The 23,427-nt window shown below is 46.9% G+C and overlaps 1 protein-coding gene across 2 annotated transcripts in view, besides 1 other annotated feature; it reads left to right on the plus strand.

Annotated features, from left to right (window-relative positions):
- The window catches only part of ZNF664-RFLNA (ZNF664-RFLNA readthrough), a 342,810-nt gene that overhangs the window by 188,188 nt on the left and 131,195 nt on the right, over window positions 1-23,427 (plus strand). The gene's annotated exons all lie outside the window — the stretch shown is intronic.
- Window positions 20,615-21,120: an enhancer, noted in NCBI's record as "H3K4me1 hESC enhancer chr12:124666563-124667068 (GRCh37/hg19 assembly coordinates)". NCBI's record gives its function as "activates a minimal SCP1, AML or CMV promoter by ChIP-STARR-seq in primed H9 embryonic stem cells {active_cell/tissue: H9 hESC(primed)}" and the evidence as "EXISTENCE:reporter gene assay evidence [ECO:0000049][PMID:30033119]".

Raw genomic sequence — 23,427 nt, forward strand, 5'->3', positions numbered from 1 at the left:
CTCCTGGGTTCAAGCAATTCTCCTGCCTCAGCCTCCTGAGTAGCTGAGATTATAGGCGCCCGCCACCATGCCCAGCTAATTTTTTTGTATTTTTAGTAGAGATGGGGTTTCACTATGTCGGTCAGGGTCAGGCTGGTCTTGAACCCCTGACCTCGTGATCCACCCACCTTGGCCTCCCAAAGTGCTGGGATTATAGGTGTGAGCCACCGCGCCCGGCCAACATGGAGGTTCTAACCGAACTCTGCCTTGAACATGAGCTGTGTGACTTTGGGTAAATCACTCACCCTTTCTGAGTCTCATTTTCCTCATCTGTACAATGAAGGGATAGTAATTATTCTAGCTTCCGAGACTGTGGGGAAACTCAAATGAAATAACATACAATATCATTAATATTAGAGTCACTATTGTTATGATTCCAGTTTTACAGATGGAGAAACAGGGCTGGACTGTTGAGACCCGGACTCCCAGGTCATTACTTCTAATTTCCAGAATCCTTGCTGGATTCCTCTTTTAAGGCGACTTACCTAAGCTAAATTTAATGGAGTCTATTTCGGCAATTGTTTAAAATTTTGAAGATTCACCTGAATAGCAGAACTTTCCTACCTAAAGCAAATAATATCTAATTTATAAAAAGTTAACTTCTCAAGAGCAGCACCTCTAAGTTCAGGAGGTTCATGTCTTTATAAATATGTGGTTTGTACTTACTATTTGGACATAATAAAAAAAGGGGTTCTTAACTAGGGAGAGGTTTGAAATAATGATTTCAGGATGTTATAATACACATTTGGTGCTTTTTAAAAAAAATGGAGTAGGGGAGAGGTTTGGCTGGAAGAGTAACATTTCACCACCAAGTGGCTCAATTAGAACCTGAATGCGAATTGCTTCTCACCTCCTATATTCATGCCTTTTGCAATGTGACCTTGAAGCTTCTCCAGTCCACAAGGTGGCAGGTATTCACCACCTTCTGTGAGTTGCCTTAGCCAAGAGAATGAGAAGAAAGTGATGATGTGCCAGTCCCCAAGGTAGGCCTCAAGGGCTGTTGTTTGTTTCCACTTAATCACTTGAGTCTCTGCCACCGTTGTGAGAACAAGCCTAGTTAGACATGTGGAGCACAGGTTAGCCATCTAGCGGTTCCTGCTGAGGCCAGCCTGGATTAGCCAACATCCAGCCAACTCCTAGACATCTGGGAGAGCCCAGCCAAGATCAACAGAGCCTCCTACCAACCACCCCAGATGTGTGGGTAGTGAACACTCACTGGTGTTTGCCTCTGAACTTCTGCAGTTGTTTGTTTTGCAGTGATAACTGACTGATACAAGTACCAAGGCCAGATGAGTCTCAGAGGAGCCATCGAACCCACCCTCCTTTACCAAATCCCCTCTGGGAGAAATGTCCTATTCCTGGAGTGTTATAGGTGCATTAAAGACTGTGCCTGACTTTGAGTGACACATGTGAGGTGTTTGGGAATGTGTTTGGTGCAGCCTCTGCTGCTGCCAGCTGGTGCCCTGCCCTGAGTGGCTTTCTGGGTGTGGCTTGGGTTGGGCTGGCCTGGAGGGGGAAGAACCACCTCATCTAGTTTCCCTGGACTTTGTGCCGGCTTCTGGAGGTTCCATATCCACTGAGTTCTGCAATAGGAAAAATAGTCATCATCATCATCATCATCATCACCATATGTATTTATCAGGCCCTTATATACCAGGCGTGAACTGGACTGTTTCCTTATGTTCCCTCATTCCTTTGTCACAATAGTCCTCTGAGGAGGGTTGTTACCCCCATTTTACAGATGAGTGTATTAGTCCGTTTTCATGCTGCTGATAAAGACATACCTGAGACTGGGAAGAAAAAGAGGTTTAATTGGATTTACAGTTCCACATGGCTGGGGAGGCCTCAGAATCATGGTGGGAGGTAAAAAGTACCTCTTACATGGCAGTGGCAGGAGAAAAGTGAGGCAGATGCAAAAGCAGAGACCCCTGATAAAACCATCAGATCTCATGAGACTTATTCACTACTACCAGAGCAGCATGGGGGAAACCACCCCCATGATTCCAATTATCTCCCACTGGGTCCCTCCCACAGCACATGGGAATTATGGAATACAATTCAAGATGAGATTTGGGTGGGGACACAGCCAAACCATATCTTTCCCCCCTTGGCCCCTCCAAATCTCATATCTTCATATTTCAAAACCAATCATGCCTTCCAAACAGTCCCCTAAAGTCTTAACTCATTTCAGCATTAACCCAAAAGTCCACAGTCCAAAGTCTCATCTGACACAAGGCAAGTCCCTTCCACCTATGAGCCTGTAAAATCAAAAGCAAGCTAGTTACTTCCTAGATAAAATGGGGGTACAGGTATTGGATAAATACAGCTGTTACAAATGGGAGAAGTTGGGCAAAACAAAGGGGTTACAAATCTGAAATCCAGTGGGGCAGTCAAATTTTAAAGCTCCAAATGATCTCCTTTGACTCCATGTCTCACATCCAGGTCATGCTGATACAAGAGGTGGGTTCCCACAGTCTTGGGCAGCTCCACCTCTGTGGCTTTGCAGGGTACAGCCTCCCTCCTGGCTGCTTTCACAGGCTGGCATTGAGTGTCTGTGGCTTTTCCAGGCACATGGTGCAAGCTGTCGGTGGATCTACAATTCTGGGGTCTGCAGGACAGTGGCCCTCTTCTCACAGCTCCACTAGGTAGTGCCCCAGTAGGGACTCTCTGTGGGGCCTCTGACCCCACATTTCCCCTGCACTGGCCTAGCAGAGGTTCTCCTTGAGGGCCCCACCCCTGCAGCAAGCTTCTGCCTGGGCATCCAGGCATTTCCATACATCTTCTGAAATCTAGGTGGAGGTTCCCAAACCTCACTTCTTGGCTTCCATGCACCTGCAGGATCAACACCACTTGGAAGCTGCCAAGGTCTGGGGCTTGCACCCTCTGAAACCATGAGATGAGCTGTACCTTGGCCCCTGTTAGCAACAGCTGGAGCAGCTGGGATGCAGGGCACCAAGTCCCTAGCCTGCACACAGCATGGGGACCCTGGTCCTGGCCCACAAAACCATTGTTTTCTCCTAGGCTCTCAGATCTGTGATGGGAGAGGCTGCCATGAAAACCTCTGACATGCCCTGGAGACATTTTCCTCATTGTCTTGGGGATTAACAGTCTGCTCCTTGTTACTTATGCAAATTTCTGCAGCCAGCTTGAATTTCTCCTCAAAAAATGGGTTTTTCTTTTCTACTGCATCATTAGCCTGCAATTTTTCCAAACTTTTATGCTGTTTCCCTTTTAAAATGGAGTGCTTTTTTTTTCCTTTTTGAAATGGAGTCTTGCTCTGTTGCCCAGGCTGGGGAGTGCAGTGGCGTGATCTTGGCTTACTGCAACCTCTGCCTCCCAGGTTCAAGCGATTCTTCTGCCTCAGTCTCAGTCCCAAGTAGCTGGGACTACAGGTGCCTGCCACCATGCCTGGCTAACTTTTGTATTTTTAGCAGAGACAAGGTTTCACCATCTTGGCCAGGCTGGTCTTGAACTCCTGACCTCATGATCTGCCCGCCTCGGCCTCCCAAAGTGCTGGGATTGCAGGCAAGAGTCACTGCGCCTGGCCTGGAATGCTTTTAACAGCACTCAGCTCACCTCTTGAATGCTTTGCTGCTTAGAAATTTCTTCCACCAGATACCCTAAATAACCTCTCTCAAGTTCAAAGTTCCACAAATCTCTAGGGTAGGGGCAAAATGCCTCCAGTCTCTTTGCTAAAACAAAACAAGAGTCAGCTTTGTTCTAGTTCCCAACAAGATCCTCATCTCCATCTGAGACCATCTCAGCCTGGACCTTATTGTTTACATCACTATCAGCATTTTTGTCAAAGCCATTCAACAAGTCTCTAGGAGGTTCCAAACTTTCCCACATTTTCCTGTCTTCCTCTGAGCCCTCCAAACTGTTCCAACCTCTGTCTGTTACTCAGTTCCAAAGTTGTTTCCACATTTTCAGGTATATTTTCAGCAATGCCCCACTCTACTGGTACTAATTTACTGTATTAGTCCGTTTTCATGCTGCTGATAAAGACATACCTGAGACTGGGAAGAAAAGGAGGTTTAATTGGATTTACAGTACCATCATGGTGGGAGGTGAAAGGCACTTCTTACAAGGTGGTGGCAAGAGAAAAATGAGGAAGATGCAAAAGCAGAAACCCCTGATAAAACCATCAGATCTCATGAGACTTATTCACTACCACAAGAACAGTATGGGGGAAACCACCCCCACAATTCAAATTATCTCCTACTGGGTCCCTCCCACAATATGTGAGAATTATGGGAGTACAATTCAAGATTCAAGATGAGATTTGGGTGGGGACACAGAGCCAAACCATATCAATGAGCAAAGTGAGGCTCAGGAGGTGACTTCATTTAATTGCCCAAAGCCACCCAGCTAGAAAGTGCCGCAGTCAGCTTTGAACTCAGACAATCTGCTTGAGTGAGAATCCCAACTCCACCACAGCTGGTTGTATGATCTTGGGCGAGGCACTTCACTCCTCCAGACTCAGCAACCTCCACCAGGAAACAGTGGTAAGAATAGCTCCTCCCTTATTGGGTTGTAGTGAGGACTGAAAGAGGTACTACTTGGGAAGGGTTTGCAACATGATCTGGTGTTCAAGAAGCACTCTAATTGTGTTAGCTACCACTATCATTGTTATTATTGTTGCAATTTTTATTACTCAAGGTCATGCCTTTTCTCCTCCAGGGTCAAAGGTGGTCTCACTCAAGGTGAGAGAAGGGACCATGAACTAGTGGGGTTTTTCTTTTTCTTTTTTTTTTGAGATGGAGTCTCACTCTGTCACCTAGGCTGGAGTGCAGTGGTGTGATCTCAGCTCACCATAACCTCCACCTCTCAGGTTCAAGCGATTGTTGTGCCTTAGCCACCCAAGTAGCTGGGATTACAGGTGTGCGCCACCACACCCTGGCTAATTTTTGTATTTTTAGTAGAGACAGGTTTCACCATGTTGGCCAGTCTGGTCTCGAACTCCCGACCTCAAGTGATCCACCCGCCTCGGCCTCCCAGAGTGCTGGGATTACAGGCGTGAGCCACCTAGCCTGGAGTTTTTTCTTTAATTTGGAGGAGGGAGGGGAGCTTTGGTTCTGACCACAGAGTGTGAACAAATTTTGGTGTCTGCAGCAGAAGTAGACTAAGGTGACCCATTGTCCTGGGTTGATGTCTGTGACGGAGGGGTTTCCTGGGATTTGAGACTGTCAGTGCTAAAACTAGGAAGGTCCTGGGCAAACCAGGAGAAATGTGTTACCCTAGAGCCGATCCAACATGCCTGAAGCTGTTTCCCTGGGCTTGGTTCTGGCTTCCAGAGGTTCCACTTACAGAGGTTTCCTTATAATAAACATAGGTTAGATTAAAAGCAGAGAGGAGGGAGAAGGCAGCTCTCCTCTCAGGAGGAAGGTGGGCAGTGGCTGCTAAATAACAGACCTCATCTTAATCCAGGGGGCTGGATTAATCCAGGTGTCCCTGGACAGCAGCCTGGACCTCTGCACGTGTCCCCTTATTGGGTCCCAATTTTCCATCGTTCTTGGGGCTTCCTCCAGGCCCGCTCTGGGCAGGCAATAGAACTGCCTCTTCCTGAGAGTTCTCTGCTGCTCTGATCCCAAGAAGGAAGCTGGGGTTCTTGGGAACCTATGGCCTGTCACAGCTGCCTTAGGGATCGTGCACCTTCATCTCTCCATGTGAAGGCACACAAAGCCCTACTGTTTGGACAGGTCAGGAGTGCCGGCGCCCCTCCTCTGGTTTCTGGTCGCACACGATGGCTTAAGCTTGGAGACTGTGCTGTGCAGGAGACAGATTCCGCCGCCTCCCCCACTCGGGTCTGTTTTTCAGCCGTGGCTCCGGCAGTGGGTCTGATTTTATCCCGCAAAGTGATGTCCTGTGACCGTTCGATAGTTCCCTGAGTCACTCAATAAGCCAGTTGGGCCCCATCTCCCTGCCCTCTTGCGAGTGTCGGGCAGAGCCATGCTTCTTTGTCACCCCTCTTTCAGGCTCTCACGTTCGCCGGCTCATCTTAGAGCTTCCTGAATACACGGGAAGCTTTCGCATCCCACAGTGTTCCCTCTTCCAGCCTGGTGCAGAGGCTGTGTGGCCTGACGGTCAGGAACCTGCGCTCCAGGAATCTTGGTTCTGCTACTTAGCAACTGAATCGGGCAAGTCTTTTCACCTCCGAGATCTCAGTTTCCCCAACTGCAAATGGGAAACAAGTATGTTCTAGTTATCCATTGCTGCACTAAAAAATCACCCCAAAATATGGTGGTTAAAACAATAGTTGGTTACTATTTCTCACGGTTCTATGGTGTATTAGTCCGTTTTCACACTGCTGATAGAGACATACCCGAGACTGGGCAATTTACAAAAGAAAAAATTGGACTTACAGTTCCACATGGCTGGGGCAGCCTCACAATCATGGCAGAGGGCAAGGAGTAGCAAGTCCTGTCTGACATGGATGGCAGCAGACAAAGAGAGAATGAGGAAGACACAAAAGCAAAAACCCCTGATAAAACCATCAGATCTCATGAGGCTCATTTACTACCATGAGAACAGCATGGGGGAACCACCCCATGATTCAATTATCTCCCGCTGGGTCCCTCCCACAACACAGGTGAATTATGGGAATACAATTCAAGGTGAGATTTGGGTGGGGACACAGAGTCAAACCATATCACAAGGTATGAGTAGACGAGGCTGTCACTGTTCTTGCTGACAGTGTCTCCTGAGGCTGCAGTCAGATATTGGCTGGAGCTAAAGTTATCTGAAGGCCCACCTGGGCTGGTGTCCAAGACGGCGCACTTCTACAGCTGGTGGTTGATGCTGGCTGTGGGCTGGGAACTCAGCTGGGGTTGTTAGCGTCAGTGCCTATACCTGGCCTCTCCATGTGGCTGGACTCCAAGAGGGAATGTCCCCAGAGCAAATATTTCAAGGGAAGAGAAGTAGAAACTTCTAGACCTCTTCAAAGGTAAGCACTGGGATGGCACGACATGATTAGTCAAAACCTTCAAGGGGGTAGCATAGTTCCCAGTGTTCGGGGGGAATGGCAGTGTGTACAGGGAACGGACAAGTGGATGGCAGCCTCCCACAGAACATAATATATCCTGGCATATATCACAGAACGACACCCAGTCCACAGTGCTGTGGCAATGCTTTGAAGGGATATGCAGGGGGAGTGTCTGGCATGTAACATGCATTTGTGAAATGCTGCTTGCTCCCAGCATTCACTGTTAAAGAAGCAGAGGCTGGAAGAGTCTTGCATACATATATCAGTCTAACCAGGCAGGAGTGAGGCTGGCATCTAGGGGCCCCATCTGCTGAAGCCAAGCTCTTGAGTGCTCCAGAGAATAACCAAAGACAAACTCAGGAACAGAATAATAATCATAATAGTTACAGTTATTACATATTATCTAATGGAGAATAAGATAACTGTAATAATATTAGTCGTAAGTATATATTATCTTATAGAGAATAATATAACTATAATCATAATAAGTATTATGTATTATCTAATAGAGAATAATATAATTATAATCATAATAGTTATATCTACTATATAGAATATATTAACTATTTTATTAATTATATGCTATATATACTATATAATATATATAATATACTTAGCTATTATGTATTTGTTATGGTTTGACTGTGTCCCCACTCAAATCTCATCTTGAATTGCAGCTCCCACAATTCCCACATGGTGTGGGAGGGACCTGGTGGGAAGTAACTGAATCATGGCGATGGTTTCCTCCATACTGTTTTCCTGGTAGTGAATAAGTCTCATGAGATCTGATGGTTTTATAAGGGAGAGTTTCCCTGCACATGCTCTCGCTTTGCCGGCCGCCATGTAAGATGTCACTTTGCTCTTCCTTCATCTTCTGCCATGATTGGGAGGCCTCCCCAGTCATGTGGAACTGTGAGTCCATTCAATCTCTTTCCTTTATAAATTACCCAGTCTTAGGTATGTCTTCATTAGCAGTGTGAAAACAGACTAATACAGTATTATATATACTACATTACATATAATTATTGCATATAATATGTATACTATTATATATGCCATCTTGTATATAATGTATAACACTCTGTTATTACTGTTGATCACCCTTATTGCACCCTCATTCCCTTTGTAGAGCTGGGAAACTATACAAGTAACAGGAAGCCTCTCCTTGCCTCCCTGATGACAAAAGCATCTTCTGCTTTGCAGACCTGGGTGGAAGGGTGGGGTGGGGCCTGACTGATTACCAGCAGCACTGGGCTATCTCAACTTACCACACACCTTCAGTGTTGACCTTTAATGGCCGTACAGCACCCTGCTCCCCAGCCCTCCACACCTCTGATATCTCACCCAGCCCAGGCAGGCTGCAGGTTGTCAGGATCCATCTGCACTAGCATCAGGAGGCTGCCTTGGAGGCCCACGTGCTCCAGGGCTGATATTTACAAGCACTCAGCATTGGAGCTGCCTTTGTTACATCTAAAAAATATGGTAACTTCTGGGATGGGGCCAAGGCACAGAATTGCTCAGGTAGTAACTGGAGGACAGAGAAATAATAGTGGTAGAGATAAGAAACCTTGATGGTAATAATACTGAACAGATCAGGAACAGCTGCTTTGCCACTTAATATTTCACAAGCATTGTAATCACTTCATCCAGTCCCAGCCCATCTTACCGGTGAGATAATGAAGTCAGAGAGAGGGAATAATTTACCACATTGACATGGCTAAGAAGTGACAGCACCAGACCCCCGATGGAAATCACTCTAATTCCAAAGCCCCTACACTGACCATCCTCCACAAAACTGTCAACCTGTGCAAATACATAATTATTGAGTCCAATGGAATTTTCATTATATTTGTCTTTTTCACATAATATTATTTTATTAAGACTCATTCTGGTCCTTAAATAGTCTTTGGAAACATGATTTTAATTGCTGTATAATATTTAAACACATGAATGTACCATAACTTGTTTACTTTCCTTTTTTTGGATATTGGATTGTTTCTACTTTTTTTTTTTTTTTTTTTTTTTGAGACAAGGTATTGCTCTGTCACCCAGGCTGAAGTGCAGTGGTGCAGTCTTGGCTCTCTGCAACCTCTGCCTCCTGGGCTCAAGCCATCCTCCCATCTCAGCTCCTGAGTAGCTGGGATTAGACGTGTGTGCCACCACACGCAACTTATTTTATTTTTTGTAGAGACAAGATCTTGCTGGGTTGGCCAGGCTGGTCTCAAACTCCTGGGCTCAAGCGATCTTCCTGCCTTGGCCTGCCAAAGTGCTGGGATTACAGGCATAAGCCACTGCACTCTGTCTATTGGCATCATTTTTATGAGGTTGGGTGTTCTCTGGAGAGACCTTCCAATCACAGGAGAGTCTCAGAGATGATAATTGTGTCTTGACTGAGAAAAATGAGCCTCCACAGGTTCCCTTTCCTGAGAGAAGACTCCCCAGATCCAGCCCATGAACGCCTATTCCCAGCAAGCTCCCTCCATGAAATCATAGTTTGCTTTGCACTTCCAAATGAACAACGCCACCTCCCCGGCTGGCTAACCCATACCCTGTTTCAAATTGCTTCGGTTTCACATTCCACAGAGGTATTTCCTGATGTTCACTTCATCCAGCAGTGTCTGTCTAACCCCGGGATTACTGAGAACCAAGAGACAACCCTAAATTTTTCTTTTTTTTCTTTTTTCTTTCTTTCTTTTTTTTTTTTTTCACTTTCCCCTAAAACCCCACAGACTTTTGCCACCTGCCTTCTTTGACCATTCCATTCTCGCTCCCTTCGGGGTATTTTGGGAGAACCATCTAAAGAAAAGTCGTTTGGGATTTTTTTTGGTTGTCTTCTCAGAAAGTGTTTTGAAATCCAATCTGAATCTCAAGTATGTTTTGAGTTGTGTTCAACTTTTAATGTTCTGTGAAAATTTGGATTTAATTAATTTCTCTTGCATTCGGAAACAGTGTGATACTTTTCTTTTTTCTGTTTCCTGGACCAAGACCTTACCACATTCATGGAAAAAATGAGGTGGTGCGGAGTATTTTCTCATAAGAATTCATATAAAATGGCTTGGACAGGCATGGTGGTGTGCGCCTGTAGTCCCAGCCACTCGGGAAGCTGAATGGGAGGATCACTTGAGTGCAAGAATTTGAGTCCAGCCTGGGCAACATAGCCAGACCCTGTCTCTAAAAAATGATAATAATTTTAAAATGGATTGAAATTGTTGCATAAGGGGAAATGACCGATTTCTGACCCTAAGGCTATGCTAGCAGCAAACTGCAGGTGAATGTGATTGGGTGTATTTCAACCCCAAAGGGGAACTTGTCATGTCATCTGGTGTAGCTGACACTGGTAGTGACCTTTGTGACTTCATGGGCCAATAGGCCATGCATTTCCTTTGTGTGGTGGAGCCCCAGCCACTGGACTTGAGTCTATAATGCTGTGTGCATGAGTTTCCTCTTGCGACTGTAATAAACTGCCACAAACTTAGTGGCCTCAAACAACACAAATGTGTCACCTTATCCCAAGTTCCGGAGGGCAGAAGTCCAAAATGGGTATTATGGGGTTGAAATCAAGGCGTTAGCAGGGCTGCTCCTTCTGGAGGCTCTAGGAGAGAATTTGTTGTTGTTTGAGACAGGGTCTGGCTTTGTTGCCCAGGCTGGAGTGCAATGGCACGATCTTGGCTCACTGCAACTTCCGCCTCCCAGGCTCAAGCCATCCTCCCACCTTAGCCTCCTAAGTAGCTGGGACTACAGGTATGAGCTACCACACCTGGCTATTTTTTTTTGTACTTTTAGTAGAGATGTTGTTTCACCATTTTGCCCAGGCTGGTCTCGAACTCCTGAGCTCAAGCAATCCACCCGCCTTGGCCTCCCAAAGTGCTGGGATTACAGGCATGAGCCACTACATCTGGCTTCTGGGAAAGAATTCATTCCTTGCCTCTTCCAGCTTCTAGAGATTGCCACATTCCTTGGCTTCCAGCCACATCACTCTGACTTGGGTTTCTGTGGTCACATCTCCTTCTCTGAGTCCGACCCCCTGGCCTCCCTCTTATAAAGGCCCTGGGACTACATTGGGCTGACTCGGATAACCCACTACCATCCCCCACCTCAAGATCCTTCACGTGACCACATCTGCAGAGTCCCTTTAACCATGTGAGGTCAAATGTTTGCAAATTCTGGGGACATCTTTGGGGGCCGTTATTCAGCCTGTCCCTCCAGGCTCAGGCTCACCACCCCAAATGCCAGGACATCCCAACAATTGCCTGTCAGTGTTGGGAGAGGAAGTCTTCCCCTGCCATGGATTCCAGCTCACAACCTCTCTTCCACAGCGAGTAAGTGTGATCTGGTGGTACAGAGGTGATACTTGAGGACACTTCTGAAATATTTGCGGGGCAAAGTGAGGTGGGGGCATGCCCAGATGGTGGTGGCATTTCCTGTGGGAGGAGGCCCCACCGGGGAATTTCACTGTCAAGAGACTAAGAGTTGAACCTCAACCTGAGTCACCAGAATGCCTTCGGGCTTCAGAGTCTCCATCTCTAAGATGTGGATGAGAAGCTGTCCCTGGGGTTCTCATGTGAATTAATGGAGGTGAACGTGAATCCAATAAAGCGCCTGTCATCCCAGCACTTTGGGAGACCCATGCAGACGGATCACCTGAGCTCAGGAGTTTGAGACCAGCCTGGCCAACATGGTGAAACCCCATCTGTACTGAAAATACAAAAATTAGCTGGGTATGGTAGTGCATACCTGTAATCCCAGCTACTTGGGAAGCTGAAGTGGGAGGATCTCTTAAGCCCAAGGAGGCGGAGGTTGCAGTGAGCCAAGATCCCACCACTGCACTTCAGCCTAGGTGACAGTGAGACCCTGTCTCAAAAAAAAAAAAAAAAAAAGAAATAAAGAAAAAAAGAAAAAAAAGAAAGCGCCTCGCCTGTGTCCTATGATCATGCTATCGCCATCAGAGAACCTTAGTATTGGCGTATGAAGATATGAAGACTGGGGTGATATTGCACACTTCATAATGAAAGCCTGAAATAATCAACCTTTTAGATTCTAGTTAAAAAAAAAAGCAACAAAAACAAGCAAATGAACCCCCTAAGGACCAGTTAATCAGAAAGGAAAGCCCAAAGATTGTCTACCTCCCTTTGCACCTGGTGGGGTGGGCACCTTTGCAGAACCATGCCTGGTGCTGATAGATTTGGTGGACTTGTGGGGCCAGTTTCAAAAGTGCTGTGGGAAGCCAGGTGGAGAATTTTCAGGTTGCTCAATGGCAGACACGATGGTCTAACTCCAGGCAAAGATCTGAATCTTGGCGATTGGTTTATTTGATCTGCCTAGTCATCTGTTCACTTCCTTCATCTCCTTTCTCCCAAATCTACCCTGCTTGCTGAGCTCAGAAGGCTCGGGGACAAAGCTCTGGCTTCGGCGTCAAACACCCCTGCATTCAAATCCCAGCCCCGTTCCTTACTAGCTGGGTGACTTTGGGCCAGTTACTTAACCTCTCTGATCTGAGTGCTAAATTATTGAAAATGCAAACAGTCGAGAAAAAGTGCTTATGGGAGTTTCTAGGACATAGAGGGTGATCGGTGAGTGCTAGTTTCTTTCCCTCCTGTTGGGAGATATTTACTCAGTAGAGTCTCATGAGAGTTGAGCTATGGTGGTACAGGAAACAGGTCCTGTTAGACATATTGAGAATGTGTGTTCCCATATTGGCTTCAGGGCCATTAATCTCTCTAGGCCTCCGTTTCCTCATTTCATCAGTAAAATGAGAAAAAAAATGGTCTCTCTGACCTCATAAGGATATTCAAGAAAATAAGGTAGTGATCTTTGGAAAATCAAGTATAATAGCCCATTATTGAAGAAAAAGAAAAGTATTCATTTCCAAAAGCTTTCAGGATGTACATATGTTCTACATTCTCTTTAAAAGCATTTGTTTTTCTTGGGAAAAAAATGAAGCCTACAGCTTTTAATGATCAACCACAATGGTCACCATCCATTTGAGAATAATACACACTGATCACGTCCCCTGGCGTGTGAGCTACCCGCGGAGTACTAGCAAGCACAGACTTCATGGTTGTCCTATGTGCAACTGACCTTGACCTCTGATGCTGTGCATCTTGGCACAAAACCAACAGCTTCGTTTTGCAGAGAGCCCATTTACGGGGCATCCTGGGCTGGGGGGTGACTCAGTAGAGGAAAACGTGGCCACCCGGCCAGCTTGGAGGCAGCCACTTCAGCCAGTTCCAGAGGAGGATGTGTAAGAATGGTCAGCCCCAGTGGAAGACCTTTCCTGCAAGGTCAGCGGCAATGATTTCATGACCGGTGGGCCCACCCTGACTGCACAGCCGTGGAAAATCCTCCAACAGAGACGGGAAAGAGAAAAGGGAACCCACCCTACCCAGAAATGAGGCTGGGCTGAGCACAGATGGTGCAGGCTGAGAAGGGCACTGCCAAGAAGTACAGACCGAAGGAGATACTTCCAGCTGCCACCAAGCTGCTGGGACACGGGCGTGCTGTCCTTCTGGTGACAATGAGAGCCATCCGAGGGCCACCCTTGGGATATTGTGCAAATGGCAAGTATTTCAGATGGCCTGTGGGTGTCCGAGGGAAGGGAGCAGTTTCAGGGCTTCTGTTTGAGAGAGTTATTTTTTTTTTTAATGGAAAAAAACACCACCCGCTTTGCCTGTGGAATCATCAGAAGTTGGTGATGATGACAGGAACAGGATCTCAGAATAGGAACCAGCTGGAGATTCATATGGAGAAAAACAAAGGTCTTGATGATTTATTTTTCTCTCTTCTCTCAGCATGTTAGCAAAACAAACAAACAAAAGGGGAAAAAAAGCTTCAATGAACTCTTAAGAAACAAAAATGAAAACACACAGAGCATCTAGGGAATCAGCTTTGCCCTTCCCCGCTCCTGCAGGATTGGAGGGAACTGCAATCATTGTGACCACTGGGAATACTGGCCTCTGCCATAACACTCCAAGAGGCAAGCCCTAAATGGCACCACCAGGCAAAATGGCAGGCCAAGTGGAAAGGCAGGAAGCGGCTTCCACTGGCTGCAAACGCTTGGCTCAACACCACGGGCTGTTTCTGACCATGGAGAGGGCAGCACCTCCAGCTTCGCAGGGGCTGTGTTCTGGGGACAGCCACGGACATCTCCCACCTCATCCCTCCATTCATACCTCCCTTTCCATAGACAGTCGGGGACTCTAATAATCCCCAGCAATGAACCTGGGCCGAGGTGGTCATGGATGGGTGGTGGTCATCGGTCATTGCTTTGTGGGATGTCAAGCTGGAAGACAGGAAGGGTGAAGACAGGGTAGCTGTGGGAGCGCTACCCTCGGGGGCTTGCTGATTCTTATGCACTCTCTCTGGCATTGGAAGGACTTTCAGACTGTTTCAAATTATCTATGAATAAATTTCCTTTTGGATCGTCAGGCAATCAGGCAGCAGAAGTGGAAGATGCCTCCTGAGCCAGCAGAGCCCCTCCAGAAAAATGCCTGCCAGACGCTGGGAACTTGGCTCGAGGTTGGGTCTTCACAGCCAAGGCTTTGGCGTGGAGATCAGAACGGAGGGTTCTAATAGCAACCAGGTGGATGCGGAAGGGCACCCGAGAGCCAGCATCCCTCCAAGGCAGAGCATCAGAAAATGAAAAGCCCTATGATTGCAGGAAATGATCCTGCAGTAGGAAAGACAGCGAACTTTGCCCCCAAGAGGAAAAACATACTTTTGCAAAAGATTTTCTACCAGAAATGGAAGTAAATTACAGAAAGCTGTCTTGTGTTCACAATAAAATTCAAGGACATGTGACCTTAAAATGAGATAAACTTAGATGCAAAGACACAGGATTGCAATGAAAAGGAGACATGGCAAAGATGAAGGCAGAAACAGCCAGGGAGCTCCGTGTGTCTAGGAAGGCCCTGAGGAAATACACCTGAAAAACGGACGGCGGCATTCGCAGCAGAAACAAGTGAAACAGTAGAAAATTGAATCAATGATGTCCAGAAATGAGGGGGAACTATTGTTTGCCAAACAAGAGCCATGTTCCCACCTCAACATTTTCCAGGCTAACGGAATCCTTATCTTCCTCAGAGTCCTGAGCCCTTCTAGGGGGCGGGCGCTGGCCCCTCTTTGGCCCCAGGATGTGAATCTCTGTTGCTTAAGTCAACCACGATGCTCTCATTCGCCTTCAGCAATGACCCTCTTAGGCCTGGTCATAGGATGCCCAGCCAGCCCAGGACTCATGAGGTGGCCTCTGCAGGAGGACATGTGGAGAAGGGTCTCCTCACCAGGAGGAGGAAGCACGTGGAGGAAGTGGTTTTTTTCTGAGACATTATCTTACCTGCACACAATGCCTGTAACTATGTCCTCCCTCTATCCACCAAAGACGGCAGAGAAGAAAGAGGGAAGGAACCTGGATTTAAGCTATGATGTTACTGAGTTAGCCAGTCCTGGAGTTTTCTACCTCTGCCCCCCTTGTTATGAGACACAATGAATATTCCTACTGTTTTAGTCACTTGCAGGAGGGTGTCCTGCTGTACGTAGCTAAAAATACCCTATCTACCAGCTGGGTGTGGTGGTGCATGCCTGTAGTTCGTTTCTCAGGAGGCTGTGGCAGGAGGATCACTTGAACCCAGGAGTTCGAGACCAGCCTGAGTGGCATAGCGAGACTCGAGTCCCTAAAAAATAAAAAGTGCCACATGCCTGCCTGTAGCCTGTAGTCCCAGCTATGTCGGAGGTCAAGGCAGGAGGATCACTTCAGCCTAGGAGTTTGAGGCTGCAATGCTCTATGATTGTGACATTGTACTCCAGCCTGGATGACAGAGGGAGCCCGTTTCTAAAAAAAAAAAAAAAGAAAAGAAAAGAAAAGAAAAGAAAGAATAGAGAAAATACCCTATCTAGGATAAGTTTAAGCAGCTCTCCTAGAATGCAGAAGGAGAGAAAACAAAAAGAGATGGTGATAAGACAAGAATGAGAAAAATGGGAACCAAACAATGGGCGACATCCTGAAGAAGAAACCAGAACAAACCCAGACAGGCACGATAGAAGCTGCGAAAGGAATGTGGGTCTGCAAACTGAAAATAATGCCTGGCTGTGGGTCACACTCGGACGAATCCGTGTGAAGACAGTAACACACTGGGCAGAAAGGCAAAGGATATGGACAGAATTCACAGGAAAATACTGTTCAAATGGCCCTTACGTTTATCAGCAGATCCCTGGCCTTCCTCCTAATAGAATTGAAGATCGAAACTAGACCCTGTTACCATTTCCACTGCCTGTCAAGCTGGTAAATGTGCAAGTTAGAGAGAATGCTGTGGGTCCTAAGCTGGGGCACCAAGGATGCTGGCCCATTGCTGGTAGGAACGTCAGGGCTTCAACCGCACCTGGGGGCAATTTGTTAACATAACAAATGCACACACCCCTTCTAGGAATTTATCCTACAGTGATATGCACAGGTGTGAAATAACACTTGGACAAGGTTACATAGTGAAGCTTACTCCTAATAGCAGAATATTGGAAACAACCTGAAGTCCATTCATAAATTATGATCCATCAAAAACTAGACAACATTTAATATCCTGGCATAGAAACATCTCCAAGATGGAGTGTTAAACATAAAAGGCAAGATGTGAATAGCATACTGCCATTTGTGAAGAAAGGAGGAATCAATCAATATATCTATTTATCGATCAATTATCTATCAATTATCTATCAATCTATTATCTACTTATCTATTGATTAATTTTTTTCTTTTTTATTTTTTTGAGACAGAGTCTTGCTCTGTCACCCCCAGCTGAAGTGCAGTGGCGCGATCTCGGCTCACTGCAACCTCCACCTTCCAAGTTCAAGCGATTCTTGTGCCTCAGCCTCCTGAGTAGCTGGGACTAAGGTGTGTGCCATCATGCCCAGCTAATGTATTTTTGTAGAGACAGGGTTTCACCATGTTGGCCAGGCTGGTCTTGAACTCCTGGCCTGAAGTGACCCACTCACCTTGGCCTCCCAAAGTGCTGGGATTACAGGCGTGAGCCACTGAGCTTGGCCCTGATTGATTTTTTGACTTTCTATTATCTATCTATCTATCTATCTATCTATCTATCTATCTATCTATCTATCTATCTTATCCATCTGTCTATCTATGCATCTATCAATCATCTATCCATCTCTTTGCTTGTTGTTAAGGACTGAATAGTGTCCCCCTCGAATTCATATGTTAAAGCCCTAACCCCAATGTGACTATATTTGGAGATAAGGCTTTTAAGGAGGTAACTGAGGCTAGATAAGGTCATGAGGTGGGTCCCGGATCCAGTATGGCTGGTGTCCTCACAAGAAGAGGCACCAGGGATGTGTGCACACAGAAGAAAAGGCTGTGTGAGGGCCCAGCAAGAAGGTGGTCATCTGCAAGGCAAGGAGAGAGGTCTTGGGGAACACCCAACTGCCAACGCCTTGATCCTAGACTTCCAGCTTCTAGAACTGTGATAAAATTAATTTCTATTGTTTAAGGCACGCATTCTGTGGTATATTGTAATGGCAGCCCTGACAAACACAGATTTTGATACCAAGAAGTGGGGTGCTGCTGTTAACAAATACCTAAAAGTGTGGATGTGGCTTTGGAATTGAGTAAAAGGTGGAGGAGGAAGATTTTTGAGGTGCATGTTAGAAAAAGCCTGGATTGCCTTGAAGAGACTGTTGGTAGAAGCATGGATGTGAAAGGTGATTCTGGTGAGGGCTCCGATGGGAAGGAGGAACATGTTATTGGAACTGGAAGAAAGGTGACCCTTGTTATAAAGTGGAAAAGAACGTGGCTGGATTGTATTCTGGTGTTTGTGGAGAAAGGAGAAGTTAAACATGATGAACTTGGATAAGAAATTTCTTTTTTTTTTTTTTTTTGAGGTGGAGTCTCACCCTGTCACCCAGGCTGGAGTGCAATGGTGTGATCTCGGCTCACTGCAACCTCTGCCTCCTGTGTTCAAGAGATTCTTCTGCCTTAGCCTCTGGAGTAGCTGGGATTACAGGCACGTGCCACCATGCCCGGCTACTTTTTGGATCTTCAGTAGAGACGGGGTTTCACCATGTTGGCCAGGCTGGTCTCAAACTCCTGACCTCGTGATCCACCTGCCTCGGCCTCCCAAAGTGCTGGGATTACAGGTGTGAGCCACTGCACCCAGCCTTAGCTGTAGAAATTTCTAAGCAAAGTGTTGAAGGTGTGGCCTAGTTTCTCCTTAATGCTTATTGCAAAATGTGAGAGAACAGAGAAATATAAACTGAAGGAATTTTAAGCAAGAAGGAACTAGACCTTGAAGATTTGGAAAATTCTCAGCCTATTTATATTTCAAAAAGTGAGGAAGCAGGTTCTGGAGAGAACAGCAAGGGTGTGGCTGGAAATTCATTTTATACAGATATTGTGGGTGCGATGTGTGGATTTAATCAGTCATTTCAGCAGAAGTTAGCCATAGAGATGGGATTATACCAGCAGAGACACTGCCAGGCCTGGACCAATGGGGACAGAGACAGGACATAGTGTCCCGTGGAGATGGATGTCCTGGAATTTGACAGGACAGTAGAGTTATTCATCTGTGAACATGCACTATCCTTTAAGAAAAGAGGAGGACGCTGGAGGCAACTCAGAGGTTGGCAGGGCTGGCACTGCCACCACAGACAAGGGAACAAAGCTGTGTCCTTCTTAGTTTCAAAGGGTCAGACTGTTGCTCAGAGCCTTGGGGGTGGGGCCACTGCCTCGGGCCATGGCGCCCGGACTACAGGCTACTGCCCCAGTGGGCCTGGAAAGCAGGATGCTGAGCTGAAGAGGATTATTCTTGAGGCTTAAGAGCAAATGGAATTTGCCTCGCTAGATTTTGGACTTGCTTGGGACCTATCACCCCTTTCTTCTTTCCGATGTCTCCTTTTTGGAATGGGAATGTCTATCCCATGTTGGTCCCACCACTGTGTCTTGGAAGCACATAACTTGTCTGGTTTCACGGGTTCACAGCCGGAGAGGAATTTTGCCTCAGGATGAATCATGTGTTAAGCCTCACCCATACCTAATTTAGATATTCAGACGAGACTGCACCTAGAGTTGACGCTGGAATGCGTTAAGACTTTTGGGGCTATTGGAATTGAATGTAATTTGCATGTGAGAAGGATATGAATTTGGGGGACCAGAGGGTGAATTATTACAGACTGAATTGTGTCCCTCCTCCAAATTCATATGTTGACGCCCTAACCCGTCATGGGACTGTATTTGGAGGTAGAACCTTTGAGGAAGTAATTAAGGGTAAATCAGGTTGTAAGAGAGGGTCCCTAACCCAGTACAGCTGATGTTCTTATTAGGCGAGAGAGAGAGACCAGGGATGTGTGTGCACCTAGGAAAGGCCACGTGAGGACCCTGTGAGAAGGCCCCCATCTGCAAGCCAAGGAGAGCAGCCTCAAGAGAAACCAGACCTGGTGCCATCTTGATTGTGGACTTCCAGCCTCCAGAACTGGGAGAAGTAAATTGCTGTCGTTTAAGCGAGAACAGAGATTGCAGGTGAGAAGGTGAACTGGGTATCTGGGGACTGGGAAAGAATTTCTGAGTAATTTCTCAGTAGATCTGTTTTTATCCTCCCTTTATATTAAAAAATTTAAAAATAACAGTGATAAAACTTAGAAACTATTTTTTCTTTTTTCTTTTTTTTTCTTTTTGAGATAGAGTCTCACTCTGTTGCCCAGGCTGGAGTGCAGTGGTGTGATCTCGGCTCACTGCAACCTCCATCTCCTGAGTTCAAGCGATTCTCCTGCCTCAGCCTCCCGAGTAGCTGGGACTACAGGCGCCCGCCACCACACCCGGCTAATTTTTATTTTTTTAGTAGAGACCGGGTTTCGCTGTGTTGGCCAGGCTTGTCTTGAACTCCTAACCTCAAGTGATCTACCCACCTTGGCCTCTCAAAAGTGCTGGGATTACAGTCATGCACCACTGCACCCGGCCTAATATTTTTTATTTATATGACAATTTATTGTAAGAGTAGCGGTCAGCATCATATTAAATGATGAAGCCATGGAGACATTCCCATTAAAAATTAGAAACAAGACAAGAGTGCCTGTTATCACTGCATTGCTGAATGTTGTTCTGGTTAAGCCACATAAGCCAATGTAATAAGACATGGATATTAGAGGCCAGGCGCGGTGGCTCACGCTTGTAATCCCAGCACTTTGGGAGGCCGAGGTGGGCAGATCATGAGGTCAGGAGTTTGAGACCAGCCTGGCCAACATAGTGAAACCCCGTCTCTACTAAAAATACAAAAATTAGCTGGGCGTGGTGGTGGACGCCTGTAATCCCAGCTACTCAGGAGGCTGAAGCAGGAGAACCTCAGCTTGAACCCGGGAGGCAGAGGTTGCAGTGAGCCGAGATTGTGCCACTGCACTGCAGCCTGGGCAACAGAGCTAGACTCCATCTCAAAAAAAAAAAAAAAAAGACATGGATATTAGAAAGAGGATAAAGTGATTGAAAAGAAGATGGGCTTATTATTATTTACAGATGAGAGTGTTTTCTACTATGATTGCTTTGCTATTTGGTGGTTATGACACATTTTATATATTTTTTGAGATTTGGATCATTTTTTAGGGGCATCTTCTATCATTTGTTTATAAGCACAGATATAGGGAGGTGGATACAGGCAACATTTAAACTTAAGTGGCTCTGAAATGTATTTTACATTAATTGCAAAAATCCTTACTTGGAGAATTTTTAAACGGCGACATAAGGAGGCCATATTTATTTAAATGAGAATGTTGAGGTGAAAGGCAAACTCATAGGAGGCTGGGTGGTGAGAAGGATGGAAGGAGGCCTTTTTGGGCCGCTCATCTGTGAATTCTCCCACCTCTAGAGGCTTTCAGCAAGCTGAAACCCAACTAGTACATGGAAGGTAATTGGCTGTAATTAATTCCACAACCCTGGGCCTCTTGCAAGGCCTCCTGGGTAAACAAAAGCAAAAACACATTGCAGCAAACCCCTCCCCGCTGCCTAACTCTGGATACATGAGACTAGAGTCCTTTTGACCGTGCCCTGCCAACTGCCAAAAACCCGTCGACAGGCTGGGTCCTAAAGGACCCTCGGGAAGCCCTCGCCCTGGGGAGGGAGCACCGAGGCCGGCTCTTTGCAGTTGCTGTGTTTTTGCTTTCCGCAGGCCCAGCTATGTAAGCCCCACTGGGTCCCAGTTGGCCAAGTTGCTTTTGTTCCTTCTTTATTCTGTTTCTAGTAGTACAAAGCAGTTTCAGCTGCTTACCCTCATGGGCCATGAGCTGCTGGAAGAGGGTGGCAGTGTGGGGAGGGGGTGCCCCTTAGAATCGCTCTACTTCTGAGTCCCCACCCTGCCCAATCAGACCCCACAAGCGGCTGACCCCAAGAGACGGCACTCAGGGGCCTTCTCGCTGCAGTTCGTCTTTGCATCCTCTCTCCCATAATTCATTCTACACACAGTAGCCGGAATGATCTTTCAGAAACATAAATCACATCAACCCCTGTTTAAACACAGCCCCACCCCCGCCCCTCCCCCGGCTTTCTTTTGCTCTTAGTATCAAATCCAAACGCCATTCTCAGGTTCCCCAGGACCCTCCTGATCTTCCCCTGCCTACCTCTTCAAGTTAATCTAGCATCCCTCTCTCTGGACCCACTGGCCTTGCTGTTCCTTGAATACACCATGCTTGTCCCTTCACTTCCTGGTCTCTTTGTCTGGAAGATCCACCCCCAGGGCTCTACAGGGCTTGCTCTTTCTTATCCTTAAAATCTCAGCTTTGAACCTTCCCTGAGTTCTCTACCACTGGCAGACCCCTTCCAGCTTGTTCTCTCCCTGCAGCCTTTTACCTTATTTGTTGGTTTGCATATTATTTCCTGTATCTCCCTACCCCATCCCTAACCCTGAAGAAGAGGCCACTTCCCTTCCATGAGGGCAGAGACTCTGTCTTATCACTGCTGTGCTTTGCACAGAGTAGGGAACAAAAAACACACATTCAATTATTTTAGTTGATTATTTAAGGAGAAACATATGCCTGAGGACTGAGTTTATCAGAACAAAATCTAAACAGAGGTGGTTTACTTCAAAGGCCAGGAACTGAAGCTTCAGCGTCCTCACCCGAATAGCCACCTCCAAGGCCCTGGATCTAATTTTGCACTTGTAATTTTGTACTTTTTTTTTTCTTTTAAAGAACTCCCCTGAAACTGCGTAAGCTTCAGATGCCCCAAAACCTGGATCTACTCTGGCCACCAAAGATGGGTTAGTGGTCAGATGCCACGCTGGGTAGCAAATAATGGTGATCATCGTAATAAACAATAACAATAAATAACAGCCGCCTGGTAGGAATAATAGTAACAATCATAGCAGGAGCGGTTACTTAGCAAGCTCCGTGCTTGTGCTACCAGCCACTCTGCAATGCTACACCCATTTTCAAGATGAGGAAACAGAGGCTCGATGGGTAGCGAGGCTCGCCAAGCAAGCTTGGGCCTGTCTGCTGCTTGAACTCATGCTCACGGCCGTGGCTTAGTTTGCATCAGATAGCCCAGAAAGTGGCTGAGTGACCTGTAGAAAGTGTTTCTTGGGCTGGGCGCGTTGGCTCACGCCTGTAATCCCAGCACTGTGGGAGGCCGAGGAGGGCAGATCACGAGGTCAGGAGATGGAGACCATCCTGGCTAACACGGTAAAACCCCGTCTCTACTAAAAATACAAAAAATTAGCCGGGCGTGATGGTGGGTGCCTGTAGTCCCAGCTACTTGAGGAGGCTGAGGCAGGAGAATCGCTTGAACCCAGGAGGCGGAGCTTGCAGTGAGCCGAGATTGTGCCACTGCACTCCAGCCTGGGTGACAGAGGGAGACTCAGTCTCAAAAAAAAAGGAAAGTGTTTCTTTTCAGGCCCCTGACTCCTATGGGCTGAGCAGAATTTTGCAGAGGGGCCCCAGCCCTGTCCATTGAGGGACTCTTGGCCCCTCTCCTTTCTGGTGACCCTGACTCGTACCCCATGAAGCTGGACGTGGGCAGTGGTGGAGTTCCAGCCCTCACCCCTATTCTGCAGCTAGTTCCAGTACAGCCGGTCCTCACTATTCGTGGTTGCTGTGTTTGCGAATTTGCCTGCTCACCGAAATGCATCTATAACTCCAAATCCAGTACTCACGACACCTTGGCCGTCACTTGATGCGTGCCGAGTAGCGAGCAACGTGTCTCCCGACACACATGCTCTCAGCTGAGGTTGCACAGGGCAGTGCTCTGCCTCCTGGCGTCAGCTCACACACCCCTGACAAGTGCCCTTTTCAGTCTGTTTGGTGTCATGCTTTTTGCACTTGTGTGCTTCTTGTTGGTTTTGCTGTTTGCGACAACATCCTTGTGGAGCGGTGAAGGGCGGGTCTGGTGTTTCTGAGCTGTGGGGTGCCTGATAGAGAAGATGCGGGTGTTACGG

Source organism: Homo sapiens, chromosome 12, assembly GCF_000001405.40.
Source record: "Homo sapiens chromosome 12, GRCh38.p14 Primary Assembly".
NCBI lineage: Eukaryota > Metazoa > Chordata > Mammalia > Primates > Hominidae > Homo > Homo sapiens.